At 35.9% G+C, this 24376-nt stretch overlaps 1 long non-coding RNA gene across 2 annotated transcripts in view; it reads left to right on the forward strand.

Annotated features, from left to right (window-relative positions):
* The window catches only part of LOC124902327 (uncharacterized), a 100784-nt gene that overhangs the window by 46509 nt on the left and 29899 nt on the right, over positions 1-24376 (forward strand). The window contains exon 1 of one of the 2 annotated variants that reach the window (XR_007061898.1): positions 21331-21365. The exons of the other annotated variant lie outside the window; for it this stretch is intronic. This is a non-coding gene — a long non-coding RNA (uncharacterized LOC124902327). Of the gene's footprint in view, positions 1-21330; positions 21366-24376 lie in introns of those variants that run through there. 2 annotated transcript variants of the gene reach the window in all.

The following is a 24376-nucleotide window of genomic DNA, read 5'->3' on the forward strand; positions in this document are numbered from 1 at the left end:
ATGCATGTACCAAGCCACATGGAAAGGCCACATATAATAAGCACCCTAAAAGTAGTTCTAGATTTCCAGTCTCCCAACTCAGGTGCCAGGGTTTGGAAGTCCTATTGACATCCCAGCATGAAAATTTACTTGGCAATTATGTATATGGACTTGCCTCTCAGGAAGAGGCTAAAGTGGAGGTCTGGATTTAAAGGTCATCAAGCAATGATGAAAATTGAAACTATGGGAGTGATTGTGATTGCCTAACGAGAGTGTATCAGTTAACCATTGCCACATCACAAGCCATCTCAAAACTTAGTGGTTTAAAACAACACTAATAAATATTTATTCATAATTCTGAAACCTGAGTTGGGCTCAGTGGGGTAGCTTGTCCCTGTTCCACATGGTATTGGCTGAGGTCGTTCATGCATTTGCAGTCAGTTGATGGCACAACTGGAGCCGGAGGATGCAATGTGGCCTTATCCACATGTCTGTCACCTGAGATAGGATTGTTGGAATGGATGGGAGCCGGTCAGATCTTTCTCTTCCCCATGGTCTCTCATCTTCCAGGGTCTGTCTCTATACATAGGCCTGTATCTTCAAGAAGGATACCCCAAACTTTCTTACATGGCATCTCTGGGTGGCAAAAAGGTGAAAGCAGATGTCTTAAAGCCCAGCTCAGAATTTGTATAGTGTCATTTCCCTTCATTCTATTGGTTCAAGCAAAAGGCCAGCCCAGTGAGTGTGGGAGGGGAATTGAATGTGAATTCAGTGATTCACTAAGGCTGTTATCTAACCATCAGTCAAAAAGGATATGGGAATGAGAATAATCTAATGCTTGGAAGAGCACGACATCTAAAGAGTGAGTGTAGAAAAAGAAGCCCATTGTGTGATATTCCCCTTCCTGTGTCCATGTGATCTCATTGTTCAATTCCCACCTATGAGTGAGAATATGCGGTGTTTGGTTTTTTGCTCTTGCGATAGTTTACTGAGAATGATGATTTCCAATTTCATCCATGTCCCTACAAAGGACATGAACTCATCATTTTTTATGGCTGCATAGTATTCCATGGTGTATATGTGCCACATTTTCTTAATCCAGTCTATCATTGTTGGACATTTGGGTTGGTTCCAAGTCTTTGCTATTGTGAATAATGCCGCAATAAACATACGTATGCATGTGTCTTTATAGCAGCAAGATTTATAGTCCTTTGGGTATATACCCAGTAATGGGATGGCTGGGTCAAATGGTATTTCTAGTTCTAGATCCCTGAGGAATCGCCACACTGACTTCCACAATGGTTGAACTAGTTTACAGTCCCGCCAACAGTGTAAAAGTGTTCCTATTTCTCCACATCCTCTCCAGCACCTGTTGTTTCCTGACTTTGTAATGATCGCCATTCTAACTGGTTTGAGATGGTATCTCATTGTGGTTTTGATTTGCATTTCTCTGATGGCCAGTGATGATGAGCATTTTTTCATGTGTTTTTCGGCTGCATAAATGTCTTCTTTTGAGAAGTGTCTGTTCACGTCCTTCGCCCACTTTTTGATGGGGTTGTTTGTTTTTTTCTTGTAAATTTGTTTGAGTTCATTGTAGATTCTGGATATTAGGCCTTTGTCAGATGAGTAGGTTGCGAAAATTTTCTCCCATTTTGTAGGTTGCCTGTTCACTCTGATGGTAGTTTCTTTTGCTGTGCAGAAGCTCTTTAGTTTTATTAGATCCCATTTGTCAATTTTGGCTTTTGTTGCCATTGCTTTTGGTGTTTTAGACATGAAGTCTTTGCCTATGCCTATGTCCTGAATGGTGATGCCTAGGTTTTCTTCTAGGGTTTTTATGGTTTTAGGTCTAACATGTAAGTCTTTAATCCATCTTGAATTGATTTTTGTATAAGGTGTAAGGAAGGGATCCAGTTTGAGCTTTCTACATATGGCTAGCCAGTTTTCCCAGCACCATTTATTAAATAGGGAATCCTTTCCCCATTGCTTGTTTTTCTCAGGTTTGTCAAAGATCAGATAGTTGTAGATATGCGGTGTTATTTCTGAGGGCTCTGTTCTGTTCCATTGAGCTATATCTCTGTTTTTGTACCAGTACCATGCTGTTTTGGTTACTGTAGCTTTGTAGTATAGTTTGAAGTCAGGTAGTGAGATGCCTCCAGCTTTGTTCTTTTGGCTTAGGATTGCCTTGGCGATGCGAGCTCTTTTTTGGTTCCATATGAACTTTAGACTGTGGTGGGGTGGGGGGAGGGGGGAGGGATAGCATTGGGAGATATACTTAATGCTAGATGACGAGTTAGTGGGTGCAGCGCACCAGCATGGCACATGTATACATATGTAACTAACCTGCACAATGTGCACATGTACCCTAAAACTTAAAGTATAATAAAAAAAAAATTAAAAAATAAAGAATAAAATTCTAGGTCATTCAGAAAACTAAATGGAAAAAAAAAGAAGAAAAAAAAGAAAAAGAAGCCCATTATGTGACTGAAGGGTGACCAGAGATACAGGAGGAAAAGCAAGTAAGAATGATATTATAGCAATTAAAAATTCCACTTCTAGAAAAATAGAACGGTTTGTTACTGCCAAAGTAAGAACATAATAATGAAACACACCTTCAGATTTAATAACAAGCAGTTATTGGTGACTTCGACAGGAAGAGATTCAGTGGAGCAGAAGGAGCTGAAGCCAGATTGCAGAAGGTTGAAGGAAGGAAGCACAGGGAGAGAGAAGGTTGCCTGTAAAAGGGCAGAGAGAACTGGGGAAATAGCCAGAATTTGACATGTTTCTATTTTAGTTTGTTAGTTTGTATATACAGGAGGAATTTGGACCAGTCAAAATGCTGAGAGGAAGGTGGAGACAAAAAGGGAAAGGTTGAAGGTATTTGAGAAACAAATATTAAGGAAATGAGTTCTAGTTTCTAGTTCTAGTTTAGCAGAAATTAAAATCAGTTTAACTGTGCAGAACAAGATTTTGTTACCTTAAGCTATTATTTTCATTCATTTTAATTTTCTAAAAAGACAATTTACTTGGAATCAAAAGGAGTAAAATCCATTAAAATGTATAAATATGTAATTTCACTTTGCTTTTTGAAGTGCCCAGTTAAGAATGATTTAATCTAAAATGAATCCATTTAAAAGTAAAAATGTTTAAAGTAAGAGGAAATATTTTGAAAGTATATTGTCTTATGAAAGTAAATAGTATATTTAAAATATGCATCCTTGCATTTGACATATTTATTCATTTTCTTCAAGATGTAAATGCTTTAACAAATGTTGCAAATGTAGAGAAATAAATTAACTTTACATCAAAGAGCAAACATCTCACAAATGGCAACAAGAGAGCAGTTGTATTTAAGATGTCTGATATTCCTTTATGTCTATATTAATAATAAATAAAATATTTCACTGTACTATTTTTCCTCATGGAAAACCCTGCTGTCCTTATTCATATACAAATCAAGCTGAAGGGGGATCTGGATGCCTGTGTACCTCCCAGAAGCTTTTTCTGGAACTGATTTGATGAGATGATTTACACTTTCTAACCATCCTTTTATACAGATAGGCTCTTCACTATTTTTACCTTTGGAGTCCTGGGTATTTTGCTGGGTTTGATAAAGTGGATCAGACACACATGTTTGCTCCAGAGAGTTTAAACATACATTATTGATTCTATCGTTTGAAGGTAAAAATGCTTTCAGAAGAAACTTGGAAAACAAGTCTAAATCAATTGAATTTAAAGACCAATAGAAATCCCTAGATATGGTTTCCACAGCAACAATTTGAATGTTTAATATTTCTTTGCACTCAAAAGGTAATTAATTGCTTCATTAATTCAATGCAAAAATTTTGCAACCTACTATGTGCTAGGTAACTGAGAAGCAAAAAGAATAAAGCCAAATGGCATCTTGTTTTTGCCCCTTCTCTCCCATCCGGTAGCCAATAGAGAGTTCACAGTCTACTCAGGATGCCAGGCAAATAAAGAGTTTTAATAATAATGTGATATGTGCCATAATGAAGGTGGGAAAAATGTACTTTGAAAGCACAGAAAGAAGTTAAATTTGTCTGTTGAGACTAAAGACAGACAGGAAAGACTCACCTGTTTAAACAGCTGAGGAGACATTTGAGTTTTATTTTCAAGAATGATACTGGTTTGTAGAATGAATTGAGGGCTTGGGAAGAGGTGGGAGGATGGACTGAGTGGTCAGGAGGAAAGAAGTGCATCCTGTTCAGAGGAAATAGCATGTGTAAAGACAAAGAACTGTTAGGACATTGTGGTTTTGGAGTGCTCCTTGCGGTTTTTTTTCTCTAGTATGACAGAAGGCATGATATGCTGAGGGAGTGAAAAGTTATTATGCTGGTAGAGTAGACAGAGATATGATAAAACATTTCTGTGACATCATAAGAAGTTTGAACTTTATTAGTGGGGAATGTTGAATGATCAATTATTTATATCAGGCATAAATATTAAGAACAGGAAAATCAGAGCAATGAATCATAGGACTTGTATGACAAGAGGTGATTAATATTTCTATTTCTCTGCCTTCAAGAAAAGCAATTGTCAAGGTATGTTTGCGGGTGACTTGTTCTTTTATGTAAAAGAGTCTGGGGGATGCCCCCTTGTTACTTGTTGTGTTATTGAATAGTTTTTATCAACAAGACTTAATTCCACACGCTGAATCTCACAGTGTGTAATTAAATCTTAGACTCTTGTTTTATCCTTAGGGACATGAAGACCTCTTTTGGCAATTTTTAATTCACTTGAAGGCAATTTTAAAGTTACTCCTTTGACTTTTCATTTTGGACTAAATAATCCTATCTCATTTTTTTCATAACTTCTATGTTACAATGCTTTAAACCATTTCAGTTGCTATTTTCTGGATTTTTCTCCTAGTTTCTTGATATATTCCTTGTAAGTGGTAAAATAAGCACCAAGCAATATAATATTTTAAAAAGATTCTGGGTGATGTTAGATCTAAGATAAAGGATTATTCCCAGCCATTTCTTATCATACATCTGTTAGGATATACCTAGTATTATGTTAGAATTTTTTAAAGGCAGCTCTGCATTGGTGAAAGATACAATTTATGTTTTGACCATTCTTTTTTCTTTTCTATTTTGCAGTTAAAAACATTTTAAAAGCAGTCTTGTAAAGTTTTTTCTTATCATTGATGGGTGATTTCTCTTGACATCTTAAATTCCATTCATATCTCAAGCAACAAGCTATAATGAAATGAGGAGATGTTTGGGAGACCCGAGTTCAAACCATGTCTCTTTAAGAAAGGTTGGAATAGAGCAATTTAAGCTAAAAAAGTCCCAGAATAATTATGGGACATTCTCAAAAGTATCCTAATTTGGATGATAACCTGCATTATCACTTTAGGCTCTTGTAATTATGAGTTTATGCTTCTCTGAATCTCAGCTTCCTCCTTGGTAAGAGGGAACAAAATATATAGCCAATACAATTGCTGGGAGATTTAAATATTTTAAAAAGTTAAAATTTTTAGCATGAAGCTTGACACAAAGCAAAGACTTTAGTTAAATAGGCCTTTTCCTCTTTTCTTGTCCCCTTTTTATAAAAATGATAATTCCTCCCTTCAAATCAGGTAGTCTCTGTATACATAAATTAGCTAAATATCTGAGATAAAAATATACCCAACGAAATAACATGTTTGTAAAGTTCAGACTTAGATTTCAGTAGGAAGCTTAAGGTGCATCCTTGCTATACCCACAATCTAGGTCATTGCTAATGACATTGCATAATACAGAAATCTATGTACAATGGCTTCAGTTATCCCTTAGCTTCATATGCAACCAATAAGAATGCTTCTATGTTCAGCTGAGCCTTCAGTTTTTAGATGAAATCTCATTAAAACAGAATTTCACCAAGTGCATTCTTAGGAACACTGTTCCCTGTAAGTAGTTAGTGGACATTATGAATGGGGAAGAAGTGCTGCGGACAAAAACAAACAAACAAACAAACAAACAAAACAAAACAATGTGGAAATGGGAAATGTTGGAATAAACAAAGTTAAAGTTACCTGTAACTTGCAGGATTTCCCAGAGCCTTTAGCATACTCATCTTTACTGTGAATCTGAAAGAGTGTAATATAGTATGCAGCATTTACAAAATAAGTAATTGAACTTGGATCCCTTTTTCCATGGAGCTCCTCAACATACCAAGTTATTGAGAGCTCAGTTTACCACAGTGTTTTCCAGTCTTGGTAGAATGTTCATTCATTTATTTAAAAAAATATTGTTGGCTTACAGCATTTATTGATTGAGTGCTTTGTGTCTAAGTGGCACTTGGCACTTCAAACCATATTATTTAACACATTATAATTTAATATGTAAAAAGTAATTAGAACTTAAAAAGTATAGTAACATGGTAAATTTGGTAAATGATTTTTTCATTCTTATTTTGTGGCAAGGATTTAGTATGTTAGCTGTTTAGTACAATGGTTTCCAAACTTTCTAAATTGTGTCCTCAGTTCTTCACAGGGCAAATATACTTATTTATTTATAAATTGTATTTGCATATTAATGGGTTAATATATAATGTAAGCATGTGCAAAATTTAGATGTTCGAAGGGATTAGATGAAAAAATAAATAGAAATAGAAATTCTAATATTTTCTTCCTGGGCTTTGATGGTTCACCTTGCCAACCTCTAGGCCACATACTTCTCTCTTTGGAGACCATTGTACTAGTAGTAAAGAAGCAAAGAAGGAAACAGAGATAACTGCTATATACTTGGAGGAAATATTGTCTTTCATTCATCATATTTGTCATCACTTATTATGGAGAAAATTGAGGTTTGACACTATTGTAAACTGTTCACAAAAAAGGATAAAGAAATAATTTTTTGATCTTAATAAGCTTATCCTGATTGAAGGAAATATATAATAACAGAGAAATATTGACTGAAGAAGACACTCATTGAAAATGGTGCGATAGGAGTCTCCAGTGCTTGCTCATTCACAGAAACATCAATTTTAATAACCATTCATGCACAAATACCTTTGCAAGAGCTAAGGAATCAAAGTGAGAATTACAGTACCTGGGTGGAACACAGAAATAAGAAAAGGCACTTTGAAGAAGGTAGAAAGGATTGTTGCATATTGCTTGCATCACTTCTCTCCCAAGCCCACACAGCACAGTATATATATATTTTATATATAATATATATATATTTTATATATAATATATATATATTTTATATATAATATATATATTTTATATATAATATATATATATTTTATATATAATATATATTTTATATATATACATATATATTATATATATATTTTATATATATAATATATATATATATATAGAGAGAGAGAGAGAGAGAGAGAGAGAGAGAGATAATCTTCAGGTTGGGAAAACAGTTACATAAGCACAAGACTTCATCATAGGCTACAGCACCAGGTCAGCCCCAGTGAACCTCAGCACCAGACTTGCCCCCACAGACCCAGGTTTTAGGCTTGTCCCAGTGCTAAGCTGGCTCTCAAAGCCTCAGTCTTCAGGCCTGCCCCTATGGACTCATGCTGTATGATAGCTACCATGGCTCCAGGCACTGGACCAGTACCCATGGACCTAGGCTTCAGGCTGGCTCCTGCAAATCTAAGCGCCAGCCCTGCCCCAGTGCCAGACCAGGCTCTGTCATCCCAGATTCCAGGCCAAATGTCACAAACCCAGGTGCCACACCTGTCTGCCCTCTGACTGAAGCATCAAGCCAGCTGTTCTGGTGACTTCAGTAGCCAGCCTGTCTATGGAACCTCAGAGCGGAGCTGCCCAGAATTTCTGGTTGAGCCAACTGGTGAAGTGTTTTTCCTTTTAAAGCCAGTCTGTAAAGACTAGAAACAGTGCCTATTTCTTTAACTGCATAGACACCAACACAAGGCCAAAACGATCATGAATAATCAGGGAAACATGACACCACCAAAGGCACAAAATAAATTGCCAGTAACTGACCCTAAATAAATAGAAGTATATGAACTGCTAGATAAAGAATTCAAAATGATTATCTTGGAGAAGCTCAGTGAACTACAAGAGAACACAGATAGGCAACTAAACAAAAATCAGATTAAAAATATATGAACAAAATGGGAAGTTCAATAGAAAAATAGAAACCATAGAAAAGAACCAAACAGAAATACTAGGGTTGAAGAACACATAATTGAACTGCAAATTTCTACAGAGAGCCTAAACAGCAGACTTGATCAAGCAGAAGAAAGAATTGGTGAGCTTAAAGATAGGTCATTTGAGAATATCTAGTCAGAGGAACAATTTTAAAACAAGAAAGACAATGGGACTATGGGGCACCATTAAGCAAACATATACATTATGAAATTTTCAGAAGGAGAAGACAAGGATGAAAGAGAGGAAAGCTTATTTAAGGAAATAATGATAGAAAACTTTCCAAAGCTGGAGAGGAAAATGAACATCCAGATCCATGAAGCCCAAAAGTAAACATGGAACATAAACGTATATTTAGATTAGACGTAAAAAGATATTCACTTAAACACATTATAATCAAATTATTAAATTAAAGACAGAATCTCTATTTTTTACAAGGCAGAATAGTTTCTATTGTGTGTGTACACACACATATATATATATATATATATATACCACATTTTCTTTATTTGTTGATGGGCATTTACATTGATTCCATAACTTGACAGTTGTGAATACTGCTGTAATATGAGATATCTGCAATCTGAGAGTGCAGATACTTCTTTGACATACTGATTTCAGATCCTTTGGAAATCCCAGAAGTGGGATTGCTGGATCATATGGTAATTCTATTTTTAGTTTTTGAGAAGCCTTCATACAGTTTTCCATAATGGCTGTACTAATTTACATTTCCACCAACAATATACAAGGGATTCCTTTTTCTGCCTATCTTTGCAAACACTGGTTATCTTTCATCTCTTTTATAATAGTCGTTCTACAAGGTATGCAGTGATATCTAATTCTGATTTTAATTTGCACTACTCTAATGATTAGTGATGTTGAACATATTTTCATATATCTGTTGGCCATTTGTATGTATGTTTGCAGCAACATGGATAAACCTGGAGGGCATTCATCTAAGTGAAACAAGCTGGGCACAGAAAAACAAATACCATATATTCTCACTTCTATATGAAATCTAAAACAACCAGACTAATGGAAGAAGCAGAATTGTGGTTTTCAGAGGCCGAGGAAGGGGGACTGGGGAGATATTGGTCAAAAGGCATAATGTTTCAGTTAGACAGTATGAATAAATGATAAATATTTAAGGTGTTGAATATGTTAATTAACTTGATTTAATCATTCCACATTCCATACATATATCATAGCATCACATTGGAGCCCATAAATACCTACAATTGTAATTTATCAATATTCAATAAAATAAAAAAAGAAGTCAAAGAGAATTTTGAAAGCAGCAAGAGAAAAGCCTTTTATCACATACAAGGGAAACTACCTTCCCTTATAAGACTATCAGCAGACTTTTTTTTTGCAGAAACCTCGCAGACCAAGGGGGAGTGGGACATAATATACACAGTGTTGGAAAGAAAACAACAAAAAACCTTTCAATCAAGAATATTATACGTGGCAAAGTTATCCTTCAGAAATGTGGGAATTATAAAGATCTTCCCAGACAAACGAAAGCTAAGGGAGTTCATCGTCACTAGATGAGCCTTACAAGAAACGGTAAAGGGAGTTCCTTCAATTGAAAAACAGTACACTAGCTAAGAACATAAAAACATATGAAAGTATAGAAATCACTGTAAAGGTAAGAATATCATCAAAGGGTCAGACTCTAGTACTATCAATAGTACTAGGGTCAGAAGACCCTAGTACTATTATGGTGGCATATAAATTACCTTTAACACTAGCATAAGAGTTAAGATACAAAATTATCAAAAATAACTTTAGCCATAACAATTTGTTAAAGAAAGCACAATATAAAAAAGATAACCTGTGATCTTAATAACATAAAAAGTGAGGAGAGGAAAAGTAAAAGTGTAGAATTTTTGTATGTAATTGAAGTTAAGTTGTTAGATTAAATAGACTATTATAACTGAAAAAGATATTTTATGTAAGCCCTGTGGTAACCACAGAGAAAATTACCTGTTACAGGTCCAGAAAAGATAAAGAAAAAGGAATCAAAGCATACCACTACCAAAAAATCATCAAGTTACAAAGGAAGACTATGAGAGGAAGAAAGGAATAAAGAAACTACAAAACAGTAAGGAAACAATGAATAAAATGGCAATAATAAGTCCTTATTATCAATAATCACTTAAAACGTAAGTGCATTAAGTTTTCCAGTAAATGACATAAAGTGGTTGAACAGCTTAAAAAAAATAAACCTTGATGTAATTCTATACTGCCTAGAATGGAGTCAGTTTTACTTTAGAAACACATACAGAATTAAAGTGAAGAGATGAGAAAAGATATTCTAGGCAAATAGTAACCAAAAAAGAGCAGGAGTGGCTATACTTATGTTGAACAAAATGGACTGTAAGTCAAAACTGTCAAAATAAACAAAGAAGGTTATTATTTAAAAATAAAAGGGTCAATTAAACAATAGGATATAGCAATTATAAATAATATTCACCCAACATCAGAGCACCTAAATATATAAAACAAATATTAATAGATCTGAAGGGAGAGATAGACAATAAAATAATAGTAGGGGACTTTAATGTACTACTTTCAACAGTGTACAGGTTGCCTAGACTGAAAATCAGTAAGGAAACAACAGACTTGAACAACACTATAGACCAAATGGACCTAACAAGTATTTATAGAACATACCAACCAATAGCAGCAGAATACACATTTTTTTTCAAGTGCACACAGATCATTTTCCAGGACAGATCACATGTGAGGCTATGAACCAAGTCTTAATAAATTTAAGAAGATTGAAATCCTATCAAATATCTTTTCTGACCACAACAGTGTGCAATTTAAAATCAACAGTGGTAGGAAAATGGAAAAATTCACAAATATTTGTAAATTAAATAATACATTCCTGAACAATCAATGGGTCAAAGATAAAATCAAAAGAACATTAAAAACCTATATATTTTAAATATATAAAATTATTTTAATAATATTAATTGATTTATTTAAATATAGAAAATAATTTTGGGTGGAAATACCCTAAACATCAAAGATAGCACCATTTTAGTATTAAGTGTGTCAATGGGGAAAAGCCTAAGATTTTGGGTCAAGACACCCAGGTTCAGACCTGAATTCTATCATTTCCCATCATGTGATCTTAAGCAAGTAACACATTTCCTCTGAGTTTCAGTTTTTCTCATCTATGAATGAAGATAATATTACTTTGTTGCATTGTTGGAATATAATCTAATATATGAAATGTATCAGAAACTTATTTTACTTGACTAGAAATAATGTTGTTAAGGCATATGTTATAGATCCCAAGCATGGGAGGTAAACCTCTATCAAAAAACAAATGTGATTAACCTACATTATATATGTGTGTGTGTATCTTTCTCTCTCTCTCTCTCTATATATATATGTATACACACACACACATTCAACAATTAACAGATCATCCAGACTGAAAATCAAAATGTCTGTCAGAGGGGGAGAGAGGGAGGGAGATTGAGAGAGAGAGAGGGAAAGAGAGAACTCCTATTTTACTTTGGTTTATTTTGAGACAGACACTCTTTTTATTAAAGTATGAATATATAAGTGTGTATATTTTTCCTGTTGATGAAGAATAATGAATAGACATTAAACATTCATCTTATTTAAAATCTTTCTATTTTTTCCTAATCAAAAGACTCCTGAAGAGTATCTTCACGTGTTAGCCTCAGAGCCTCTTCCCTTGCTGGACCCTGTGAGATGTTTGTCCACATATAGTGACTTGCTGCTTGCCTTCCATCATATTTCAGCTTTTACAGTCAACTTTCCACTTTCCTGACCACCTAAAAAGTACCCAGTAAATAACCCTTTATCGCTTTACCTTGTCTTTATCTTTTTTTTTTTTTTTTCTGAGACAGAGTCTCACTCTGTCATCAAGGCTGGAGTGCAGTGGTGTGATCTTGGCTCACTGCAACCTCTGCCCCCGGGGTTCAAGTGATTCTCGTGCCTCAGCCTCCTGAGTAGCTTGGATTTCAGGTGCCCGCCACCATGCCTGGTTAATTTTTGTATTCTGGTAGAGATGGGGTTTCACCATGTTGGCCAGGTTGGTCTCAAACTCCTGACCTCAGGTGATCCACCCACCTCGGCCTCCCAAAGTGCTGGGATTACAGGTGTGAGCCACCACGCCTGGCCGCCTTTATCTTTTACCTGTTAAGAGAGTAGATCTTCAATGTTCTCAACACACACACACACACACACACACACACACACAAAAAAAAAAAAAAAAAAAAAAAAAAAACAAACAAAAACCAGTAATTATGCGAGGTGACGGATATGTTCTTTAGCTTGATTGTGGTAATGCATATCACAAATTACATATGTCTATCAAAACATCATATATACCTTACATATATATAGACAGAAATAATTTTAATTTGCCAGTTATACTTCAATAAAGCTGGGGAAAAAACCCAGAAATATTTGTAGAACATTAATCATATACTAGGTAGTAGGCATCAGGAATACAGAAGTTATGATCTTTTGAGGAACTTTTAAATATTAAAGAGATGCCCTAAACTGGGTAGTGTTTTCAAAAAAAAAAAAAAAAAAAGGGAAGGTAACCGTGGAAAATTCCTTTTTAATATTATGCATATTTTATTTTGAGTAGGAACTCTTTCTGTGAAAGTATCATGGGGAAAGTGTTGTATTAGGCGTCAACTTGCTTGGAGGGATCCTAGGACTCTCTTGTTCATGATTCTTACTTGAGTCTTGTTCTCATGAATTCTATTTGTTTCTAGCTACTTCTCCTCTTTAGGCCTAATTTAGTGTATAAGCCTTCTGCTGTCCTCTAAGCTGTGGTTGCTAGTCATTGCTCTTCCATTCTCCTCATTACTTGCCATTTGATCTCAGTGTATCAGCCATTTAAACTTTTTCCTTTGTCAATGGCTGCCATATTATTCACTTACCAGTAGTCTCCCATTTCACCCTTTGTGATGGTTACCCCAGTATATCATTACTTTAGATACATTTTATTTCACCATGACTCTAACTTCTTGCGGATGTTCACTTATATTTTAATCACATAAAATAGTCTTCATTATTACTTAAATAAATGTGTCTTTAGAATTTTTCAAAAGGTATTTTCTATCTTAATGTTGTCATGCACTTGGATTTGTACACATAAAACCTTAGCTATTTAAGGGATGGGTATAACCTATGAAAAGATTTCTCAGGTTTCTTTTTTTTTTTTATTATACTTTAAATTTTAGGGTACATGTGCACAATGTGCCGGTTAGTTACATATGTATACATGTGCCATGCTGGTGTGCTGCACCCATTAACTCGTCATTTAGCATTAGGTATCTCTCCTAATGCTATCCCTCCCCCGTCCCCCCACACCACAACAGTCCCCAGAGTGTGATGGTCCCCTTCCTGTGTCCATGTGTTCTCATTGTTCAATTCCCATCTATGAGTGAGAACATGCGGTGTTTGGTTTTTTGTCCTTGCGATAGTTTACTGAGAATGATGATTTCCAATTTCATCCATGTCCCTACAAAGGACGTGAAATCATCCTTTTTTATGGCTGCATAGTATTCCATGGTGTATATGTGCCACATTTTCTTAATCCAGTCTATCATTGTTGGACATTTGGGTTGGTTCCAAGTCTTTGCTATTGTGAATAGTGTCACAATAAACATACGTGTGCATGTGTCTTTATAGCAGCATGATTTATAGTCGTTTGGATATATACCCAGTAATGGGATGGCTGGGTCAAATGGTATTTCTAGTTCTAGATCCCTGAGGAATCGCCACACTGACTTCCACAATGGTTGAACTAGTTTATAGTCCTGCCAACAGTGTAAAAGTGTTCCTATTTCTCCACATCCTCTCCAGCACCTGTTGTTTCCTGACTTTTTAATGATCGCCATTCTAACTGGTGTGAGATGGTATCTCATTGTGGTTTTGATTTGCATTTCTCTGATGGCCAGTGATGATGAGCATTTTTTCATGTGTCTTTCGGCTGCATAAATGTCTTCTTTTGAGAAGTGTCTGTTCATATCCTTGGCCCACTTTTTGATGTGGTTGTTTAATTTTTTTCTTGTAAATTTGTTTGAGTTCTTTGTAGATTCTGGATATTAGCCCTTTGTCAGATGAGTAGGTTGCGAAAATGTTCTCCCATTTTGTAGGTTGCCTGTTCACTCTGATGGTAGTTTCTTTTGCTGTGCAGAAGCTCTTTAGTTTAATTAGATCCCATTTGTCAATTTTGGGTTTTGTTCCCATTGCTTTTGGTGTTTTAGACATGAAGTCCTTGCCCATGCCTATGTCCTGAATGGTAATGCCTAGGTTTTCTTCTAGGGTTTTTATGGTTTTAGGTCTAACGTTTAAGTATTTAATCCATCTTGAATTAATTTTTGTATAAGGTGTAAGGAAGGGATCCAGTTTCAGCTTTCTACATATGGCTAGCCAGTTTTCCTAGTACCATTTATTAAATGGGGAGTCCTTTCCCCATAGCTTGTTTTTCTCAGGTTTGTCAAAGATCAGATAGTTGTAGATATGTGGCGTTATTTCTGAGGGCTCTGTTCTGTTCCATTGATGTATATCTCTGTTTTGGCACCAGTACCATGCTGTTTTGGTTACTGTAGCCTTGTAGTATAGTTTGAAGTCAGGTAGCGTGATGCCTCCAGCTTTGTTCTTTTGGCTTAGGATTGACTTGGCAATGCGGGCTATTTTTTGGTTCCATATGAACTTTAAAGTAGTTTTTTCTAATTCTGTGAAGAAAGGCATTGGTAGCTTGATGGGGATGGCATTGAATCTATAAATTACCTTGGGCAGTATGGCCATTTTCATGATATTGATTCTTCCTACCCAAGAGCATGGAATGTTCTTCCATTTGTTTGTATCCTCTTTTATTTGATTGAGCAGTGGTTTGTAGTTCTCCTTGAAGAGGTCCTTCACATCCCTTGTTAGTTGGATTCCTAGGTATTTTATTCTCTTTGAAGCAATTGTGAATGGGAGTTCACTCATGATTTGGCTCTCTGTTTGTCTGTTATTGGTGTATAAGAATGCTTGTGATTTTTGCACATTGATTTTGTATCCTGAGACTTTGCTGAAGTTATCAGCTTAAGGAGATTTTGGGCTGAGACAATGGGGTTTTCTAGATATACAATCATGTCGTCTGCAAACAGGGACAATTTGACTTCCTCTTTTCCTAATTGAATACCCTTTATTTCCTTCTCCTGCCTAATTGCCCTGGCCAGAACTTCCAACACTATGTTGAATAGGAGTGGTGAGAGAGGGCATCCCTGTCTTGTGCCCGTTTTCAAAGGGAATGCTTCCAGTTTTTGCCCATTCAGTATGATATTGGCTGTGGGTTTGTCACAGATAGCTCTTATTATTTTGAGATACATCCCATCAATACGTAATTTATTGAGAGTTTTTAGCATGAAGCGTTGTTGAATTTTGTCAAAGGCCTTTTCTGCATCTGTTGAGATAATCGTGTGGTTTTTGTCTTTGGTTCTGTTTTTATGCTGGATTACATTTATTGATTTGCATATATTGAACCAGCCTTGCATCCCAGGGATGAAGCCCACTTGATCATGGTGGATAAGCTTTTTGATGTGCTGCTGGATTTGGTTTACCAGTATTTTATTGAGGATTTTTGCATCAATGTTCATCAAGGATATTGGTCTAAAATTGTCTTTTTTGGTTGTGTCTCTGCCCGGCTTTGGTATCAGGATGATGCTGGCCTCATAAAATGAGTTAGGGAGGATTCCCTCTTTTTCTATTGATTGGAATAGTTTCAGAAGGAATGGTACCAGTTCCTCCTTGTACCTCTGGTAGAATTCGGCTGTGAATCCATCTGGTCCTGGACTCTTTTTGGTTGGTAAGCTATTGATTATTGCCACAATTTCAGATCCTGTTATTGGTCTATTCAGAGATTCAACTTCTTCCTTGTTTAGTCTTGGGAGAGTGTATGTGTCGAGGAATCTATCCATTTCTTCTAGATTTTCTAGTTTATTTGTGTAAAGGTGTTTGTAGTATTCTCTGATGGTAGTTTGTATTTCTGTGATTTCTGAGGTTTCTAATTTTTTTCTGAAACTTTTCACTTCAAATAGAATTTTAATTGTATTGGCTCTGAGAGAGTGCAAACCAAGTTAGTACTGAGTCAGCAGATGGAGGAATCCTTATCATTGAACAATGAAACAACTTGAATTCTTTTTTGCCCTTTTTGCCATCTGGTATCTGTGCTCATATTTGAAACATTAACCATTCAAGAAAGATTTTTTTTTTGTATCCAGTAGTCAGAATATTTCTCTGAAGACTGGTGCTTATCTTTTCAGGAAAAAAAAAAGATAAAATGTTATAAATATGAATGGAGCCCTGAACTAATATTTGACAGTGACATAAAAGCTTAAGAAAATGCAGAGTACAAAGTGAGTCTAAGGAGATGCCATTTTCAATTTATTTTCATAATCTAATTCTGTATTGCTTGTAAAGGTTAATCTAAATCCAGCAGAACCAAGGCTGTCCACTGTTTACTTGTTATAGGCACTGCTACATTATTCTAAATGCAGCAAGATGAACATGGCCCTTGTTTACAACCTAGTTGCTATTTCTTTTTGAATCATAGCAGATAAAGTTTTTTTCATGTGAACTTCAAATTATTAGTAGTCAAATAGTGTTCATAATGGTAAAATGCATCTAAGAAAACACCTAGAAAGGAATTTATAATATTCACTTTGAAAATAGTGACACAATATACATTTAACCTCCAGTTATTCAAATAACCTTGCAGATCACCTTTTTCTGGATGTCTACCTACTAGATGTCCTCAACTTCTATTTGATGAGGAAGAAAGCCAAAGGAACTCAAATAGTTTAAATATTAACTTAAATAGGAGCCTAAGGAAATATCTATTCAAAACTTTAGCCCCTAAGAGTTAAACATTACCTTATGTGGTAGTAATGGCTTCTAGATATTCTGGTGTTTTCCTTATGTATAAAACTGTTTATCTCTATTTTTCATGAGTTTTTCTAGTATAAACAAAACATAAATAATTAATGTGGTAATCATATTATGCTTGAAGCCAAATTCGTGGTCTAAGTCTAGATCTTTTAGCATGTGGGATACATATTGCCACTTTTCAAATTGGTTTGTCTTTGAGTAGAGTTTGAAGACTATTTCCTCTTGTGGTTGTGTTTTCCATTTGGGGACTTGTAAGCAATGCCTTGGTTTCTGGTGGAGTGGATCAGTTTGAGACGTTTTCTCTGTGTGAATCACTAAGAAGATTCTATTAACTATTCTTTAGATTTAGAAATAATTTGTTCACTGAATAATCAGTCTGTGATGGACAAGTTTAAGAAGATTACAAATAACACTCATTAAGTAAAAGTTAAGTGTTTTCTTGAATCAGCTTGAACCTTTATCCATTGGCTTAATCTAGCTCTTGTCTACTTATTTGGTTTTGGGACAGACCCTTTAACTTTCTCTCCTAATGGGTATTTCAGATGTTAAAGAGCTTTTGGGCACGGGGAACAGTGATGTGCTCAGCTTGGTCATGTTATGGGAAGAGGGCTGAGGTTGCTTTAAGTAGCTACAGAAGAGGCTTCAAAGAGAACCTCAGCTTCATTCCCTGTCCGTTAGTAAGCTACACTTTCCACCCAGCAGCTCTGATTACAGTGAGTCTGAAAATGTCTCCTTCAGAAACACTGCCCATTGCTCACTATTTTTGCACCCTGCCTGTTACCTAAGTCTCTCAGTTTCTTGCTCATGCTGCCAGCAAACTGTCCTCTATTGACCTTGGCCTCTGCCTACTTGGCTCCTATCACTTTAGGGACTCTTCCTCCTTAATATGGATTTTCAATTTGTACTCTCACTGACTTCTAGCTGTCTCCACATCTCACTATCACCTCTGCCACAGAGAATGTGTGGTTGCACTGATGGGTCTTCAGGTAGGAGAGAGTGCCACTGCAATCTCATGTCAGGCTTACCTCAGAGGCCACTGTTGTGTATGTGCATTAGAACAATGACAAAAACCAAAAACTCTACCAAGAACGGTATCTGTCATTTAACTCAATGTCTAGAATTCAGATTACTGCTCATCTCAGCCCTGGGAAGCAGTTATTATTCTTATCCCTGTTTTAAAGATACGGAAACAAAGACTCAGAGAAGCTAAATACTGGCAGAGCTGGGACTCAAACTTAGCTCTGTTTAACTTCAAATCCCTTGCCTTTAACCACTGTAATATGGCAGAGACCAGGTCACAGGGTCATGTTATCCACAGCCCAGAGTCCTTTGAACATGGCTGCCCTCAGAAGGGGCCTGTAGGCATGGTAGATGCCCCGAGGCTTTTCAGGAGGGGTGATTTCAGCAACAGACGCCTTCTAGCACAGATAATTTCCTGGCAGCACAATGAGGCTAGCATATCTATCCTGTTACATACAATTTCTTGGTGGATTGAAGATGTGAAGCAAAACTATGCTTTAAACTTCAAAGCACTTGTGTAATGACAGAAATGGTAGTGGGCTTGTAATAGTAGGACCTAGTACTTGTACCCTAGGCCTGGAATTTATTGACCTTTAAATTTTGGATACATCACTCAATGTCTTACTTTACTCATCTTAATAACTGGGTCAATCTTAATTTTAAAAGGACAATCATATGGACTTAATCTTCTAAAAAAAGATTAGCTTATTTTGATAAAGGGCTTGGCATTTGATAGAAATTGAGTATACTAGTAACTTTTTTTGTTTGTTTGTTTTTTCGTTTTTAATTCTCCAAAGAAAGACTATATCTGGCTGCTTAATAAAGAGAAAACCTCTCAATTGAAGTGTAACACACACAGAAAAGTGCAGAAATAAATGTTCAACTGAATTAACTATCTCAAAATAAACTCACTTGTGAAACCACTTTCTTACTCAAGAAATAGAACATGGGGCCAGCACCCTGGAAGCCATTTATGTCCACGCCTAATCACTAAACCCTCCTTTTTCCCCAGAAGTAACCACTGTTTGGATTTCTAACACTATAGAACTGTTTTGCCTACTTTTTAAAGCTTTATGTAAATGGAGTTATATGAAATGTATTCCCTTGTGCCTGGCTTCTTTTGCGAAATTATGTTTGTGAGATTCATGGATGTTATTGCACGTGGGTGTAGTTCATATTAACGGCAGTAGTGTGTTTCATTATACGAATGTACCACAATTTATTTATTTTACAGTTGATGGACATTTCAATTGCTTTCAGTTTTCACCTATTACTAATAATGTTTCTATGAATATTCTTGACCTTGTCTTTTGGTTAGTATGTATACATATTTAGTCTATACTAGGTATGAAGTTGCTGGGTCACTAGATGTGGTATCTTTAACTTGAGGAGACAATACAAAGCAGATATCCCAAATACTTTTCCATTCTGTCAATAGTGTGTGACTGCTTGTTGTTCCTAAGACTAGCCAAATCTTAGTATTTTCAGTTATTTGAATTCTGATGGGTTTGTAGTGGTATGTCTTTATCTTTCCTCGGCTACTAACGAGGTTTAATCACACCACTTTTTTTTTTTTTTTAGATGAAGTCTTGCTTTTTCACCAAGGCTGGTGTGCAGTGGTGCAATCTCGGCTCACTGCAACCTCCACCTCCCAAGTTTAAGTGATTCTCCTGCCTCAGCCTCCTGAGTAGCTGGGATTACAGGTGTGAGCAACCATGCCTGGTTAATTTTTGTATTTTTAGTAGAGACGGGGTTTTGCTATTTTGGCCAAGCTGGTCTCGAACTCCTGGCCTCAAGTGATCCACTTGCCTGGGCCTCCCAAAGTGCTGGGATTACAGATGTGAGGTACTGTGCCCAGCCAGTTTAACCCCCTTTAATATATTTGTTGGAAATTTGGATATCCTGCTTTGTAAAATCCTTTTTCAGTCTCTTGCCACCTTTTGCAAATGAGTTCTGGATTTTTCTTATTGGTAGTTTGAAGTACTTTATTCCATATTAGTCCTTTGTTGATTATATGTGTTGCAAATACTGTGGCTTCCCTTTTCACTCTCTTGTTTTTTTAATGAAAGGAACTTCTTAATTTTAATGTAGTCTAATTTATTAGTTTCTCCTTTGATTAGTGCTTTTTGTTGTTTGTTTGGAAAATATTTCTTAACCTCAAAATCATTTAGAAGATACTGACTTGCATGGTCTCTCAGGAGTTTTGTTGTTTTTATTTTCACATTTAGAGCTATAATCCTCTTGGACAGGTGATAGTTGTCTGGCTACTACATTTTTTTCTATGTTTTCATTCACCTGTGTCCTCTTTGCTTTATGGAAAAAAGTGAGACTATGGCTTGAGGAAGATGTGACTCTTTTTCTATATATCTGTACTCTTTATGACTATCTTTTTATACATTGTCACATTTCCTGAACATAACTCCCTCTCCCCCACTTTATTAAGCATATTCGAGACATAGAATGAATTTCTTAAATAATATTTTAGTACTGTTGTTTCTTAAGGAGATTAGGACAAAAACATTATGAAACACCCTTGATGAAAACAAAGAAGTAAATGCAGATATATCAAGCGGTTTATTCAGAGAGATGCAGGTTATTCTTACTTTTCATAGTTCTTCCCACCATTCTCTGCCATGCCATGGACTAGAAGGTTCTATCCTAGCATCGCTCTCAATACCTGCACTTAATCAACAATGACATCTCTTCCATTTGATAGTGAGTGATATGAATGAAGAAAGGAGGCTTCCCGGGAAAGAGGCTTCCTCATTTTATAGCAGAACTTGATGGGCATTGCGAAAACACAAGAATGATTCTAGTCTGTATGGAAAAGCATGGCTACTTCAGTGCCTGTTGGCATAATTAATTTTGTGAAAAGCTTGTACATGGCTAGCTAACATATAATCATGACTAAAGCTGAGAGATGCTCCATCATGGAACAGACATCCTTCATGTTTCTTTTGTCTTGCTATTTTACTTTCCATACCAAACACTGTTACAAACACAAACCATTGGTTTAGCATGAAAAGGCTGCAGTAAGGAACATACAGATGGTGGCTTGCAGCAAGGTCTTGCACATGTTTCTCATGGACAAAATTGGCATTTTTGCAATCTCGTGTGCCTCTGGTATGGTGATTACAAAGCTAACACTTTTATGTTCCTCTGAACTGTAGCATCTTTCTGTTTGTTAAGCATATTTTTTAAGTGTAGGTCAAAATTACAAATATCTTTTTCTTTGTCTGCTTTCTAGAGTTGACTGCAGAAAATGAAGAGGTTTCCAAGGGACAAGGCCTATGTGAGTCTGTCAGAGGCTAGACTCATCTGTGATTTACTTTCCTTTCTAACTCCTTGGGAGAACACTGTTTTCCTGTCTCTGTGCAGTTTGCAGTTTTTGAAGGACACGCTAATAAAGGCACACTTCTAAGGAAGATAGGAAAGGTCAACTAGTGCTTCTCAACTAGTTTTAGAAAACTTCTGGCTTCTACAGCTATGTGATAATTTGCGTAGATATAATTATTAAGGGCTTATCCTACAACTTAGTAAAAGTTTTGCGCTTTTTCTCTAGCACATGGCCTTTTAAAATGCCAGTAACTTTGTTAATTCCAAGCCAATTATTTTCACACTTTCCAAAGCATGATATCACACTGGTCATGTGTATCTCTGTATTGGGATACAATAAAACACACACACACAGACACACACACATTTACTTATTACTTTCATTCTCAGAGATGATGCCATTGTTCTCACTATTTTAATTTAATGTGTGCAAGCTTGGTCAGTGTTACATGTTGATGGTAAAAAGATAAATAAGATACAGATTCTGACCTTAAAGAGATTCTTACGGTAGAATATGTATACTGATCAAAAATTAAGCTATGGACTACAATATTTTTCACTTTGAATATTCAGAAAAATACCACTTAGGACCTAAAAATTATAGCTAGCCTATTTTGAAAAATTCCCCAGTTCTGACTGTTGGCCATGTGCTAGATGTAAGCAAAGAGAAGAGGTAAATAAAGAGAAGATCTCTGCTGTGAAGGTACTTACAAACCAATATGCTACACTTTCTCACTTTGCATAGATTCAAAATCAGGAAGATACTACAGCAGTGCAGACAATTGTTATTGTTATCTGGTTTTGCTTAATATCACTGGATGGCTTATTTTTTTTTTTGCTTTGTTTTATTTTATTTTATTTTAAGTTCCGGGATACATGTGCAGAACGTGCAGGTTTGTTACATAGGTATACATGTGCCACGGTTGTTTGCTGCACCTATCAAACTGTCATCTAGGTTTTTTTTTTTTTTTTTTTTTTTTGAGACGACATTTCACTCTTGTTGTCCAGGCTGGAGTGCAATGGTGTGATCTCGACTCACTGCAACCTCTGCCTCCTGGGTTCACGCGATTCTCCTGCCTCAGCCTCCCGAGTAGCTGGGATTACAGGCACCTGCAACCACGCCAAGCTAAGTTTTATATATTTAGTAGAGACGGGGTTTCACCATGTTAATCAGGCTGGTCTTGAACTTCTGACCTCAGGTGATCCACCTGCCTCGGCCTCCCAAAGTGCTGGGATTACAGGCATGAGCCACCGTGCCCAGCCATCATCTAGGTTTTAAGCCCCACATGCATTAGATATTTGTCCTAAACCTCTCCCTCCACTTGACCCCCATCCCCGGACAGGCCCCCAGTGTGTGTTGTTCCCCTCTCTGTGTCCAAAGCTTATTCTTTTCTTTCATAATTTCTCTGAATTAAAACACTATTGTATCCATAACTTTAAATATTTTATATTCTGGTATTGAGCAAGTAGATGACCTTTATTAGATTAGGGAGTGGAGTACTAAAAGATAGTCACTCTTTCATGAAAAGAATGCAAAGCAGAAAGTTCTTGCTTCTGTTGAATTTTGTATAAGGATGTCTTTGTCCAGCTAGTGAACTGTATTACATTTTGACACCATTGCATATCTGGTATGGTTTTTTGAGGTAGGAATATAAAATTAATAATTAATAATTTTGACAAAGTATAATTTTTTCTTTGTTTTTGACTGAGCAATGATCAAATGGATAGATTACTCATGCTAATATTTTGTAATATCTAGATATTTCTATAAACTAAGAATAAGCATAGACAACAGCAGATTGTCCCAGATCATCATTATTAATATAATCATCGTGGATTACTATATAAGGTCAAGATGTCAATTCTTCACAAATTAACTTATGGGCTTGATGCAATTCTGCACAAGATTATATGATTATCTGGAACTTGAGGAAATCTTATTAAAATTCACCTAGAAGAGAGAAAAAGCAAGAAGAGCTAAGAAAATATTGACAAAAAAAGTAATGGATGGAAGCCTTGTCCTATGAACTGTTAAAAACTAGAACAATTCAGTGATGAAAAACTGTATTTTAACTGTCAATTTAATGTATGTATAGGTATGTGAAATCTCAATAACATGTATATGAAAAAATATTCAAATCTAACTAAATCCTAGTCTTCAAGTATCTATCTGAAAGTCTATCTTTCATCTATGTATATTTAGAACATTTAATAAGGAAATATGCAAGGACCATATAAAAGATCTACATCATTTATTGAGTGATATAAAATTATTTTATTATGTCCCTAGATTAAAAAGACATATAGGATAATATAAATGTACAATATAAATTATCTTATATACCCTGTAGTATACTGTTCAGTACATAAAGTAAGTATTCAATGACTATTTCTTAAATAAATGAATATAAAAAGTTTGTATTGTTTTGTAATTATTGGAAGGCTTATTTCAGCATGAAATAAAATCTAAGTAAGTATTGATACATAGAAAGTAATTGTCGGGGTAATTTGGAAAAAAACATATTGTCCTAGGTACCTGATAAGAATATATATGAAGGAGGTAGGTATATTAGTTAGGAGTTTGCAGAGAAACAGAATCAATAGGGGATGTGTGTATGTGTGTGTGTGTGTGTGTGTGTGTGTGATAAATGATTTATCTTAAGGAACTGGCTTATGTAATTAGGGAGGCTGAGAAGTCCCACAATTGGGTGTCAGCAAGAGGAAGATCCAGGAGAGCTGGGGATGTAGTTCTGAGAACCAGAGTGCTTGTAGTATAAGTCTCAGTTGAGGGCAGGAGAAGACTCAGTCAGGCAGAGACTGAATTCACCCTTCTCCACATTTTTATTCTGTTTCGCCCTCAGTAGATTGGATGATTGGGTGCAGGGTGCTTTACTGAGTCCACCAATTCAAATGCTAATCTCATCTACAAACACCCTTACAGACACACCCAGAAGTAATGGTTATTCT

Source organism: Homo sapiens, chromosome 9 (genome assembly GCF_000001405.40).
Source record: "Homo sapiens chromosome 9, GRCh38.p14 Primary Assembly".
Taxonomy (NCBI): Eukaryota; Metazoa; Chordata; class Mammalia; order Primates; family Hominidae; genus Homo; species Homo sapiens.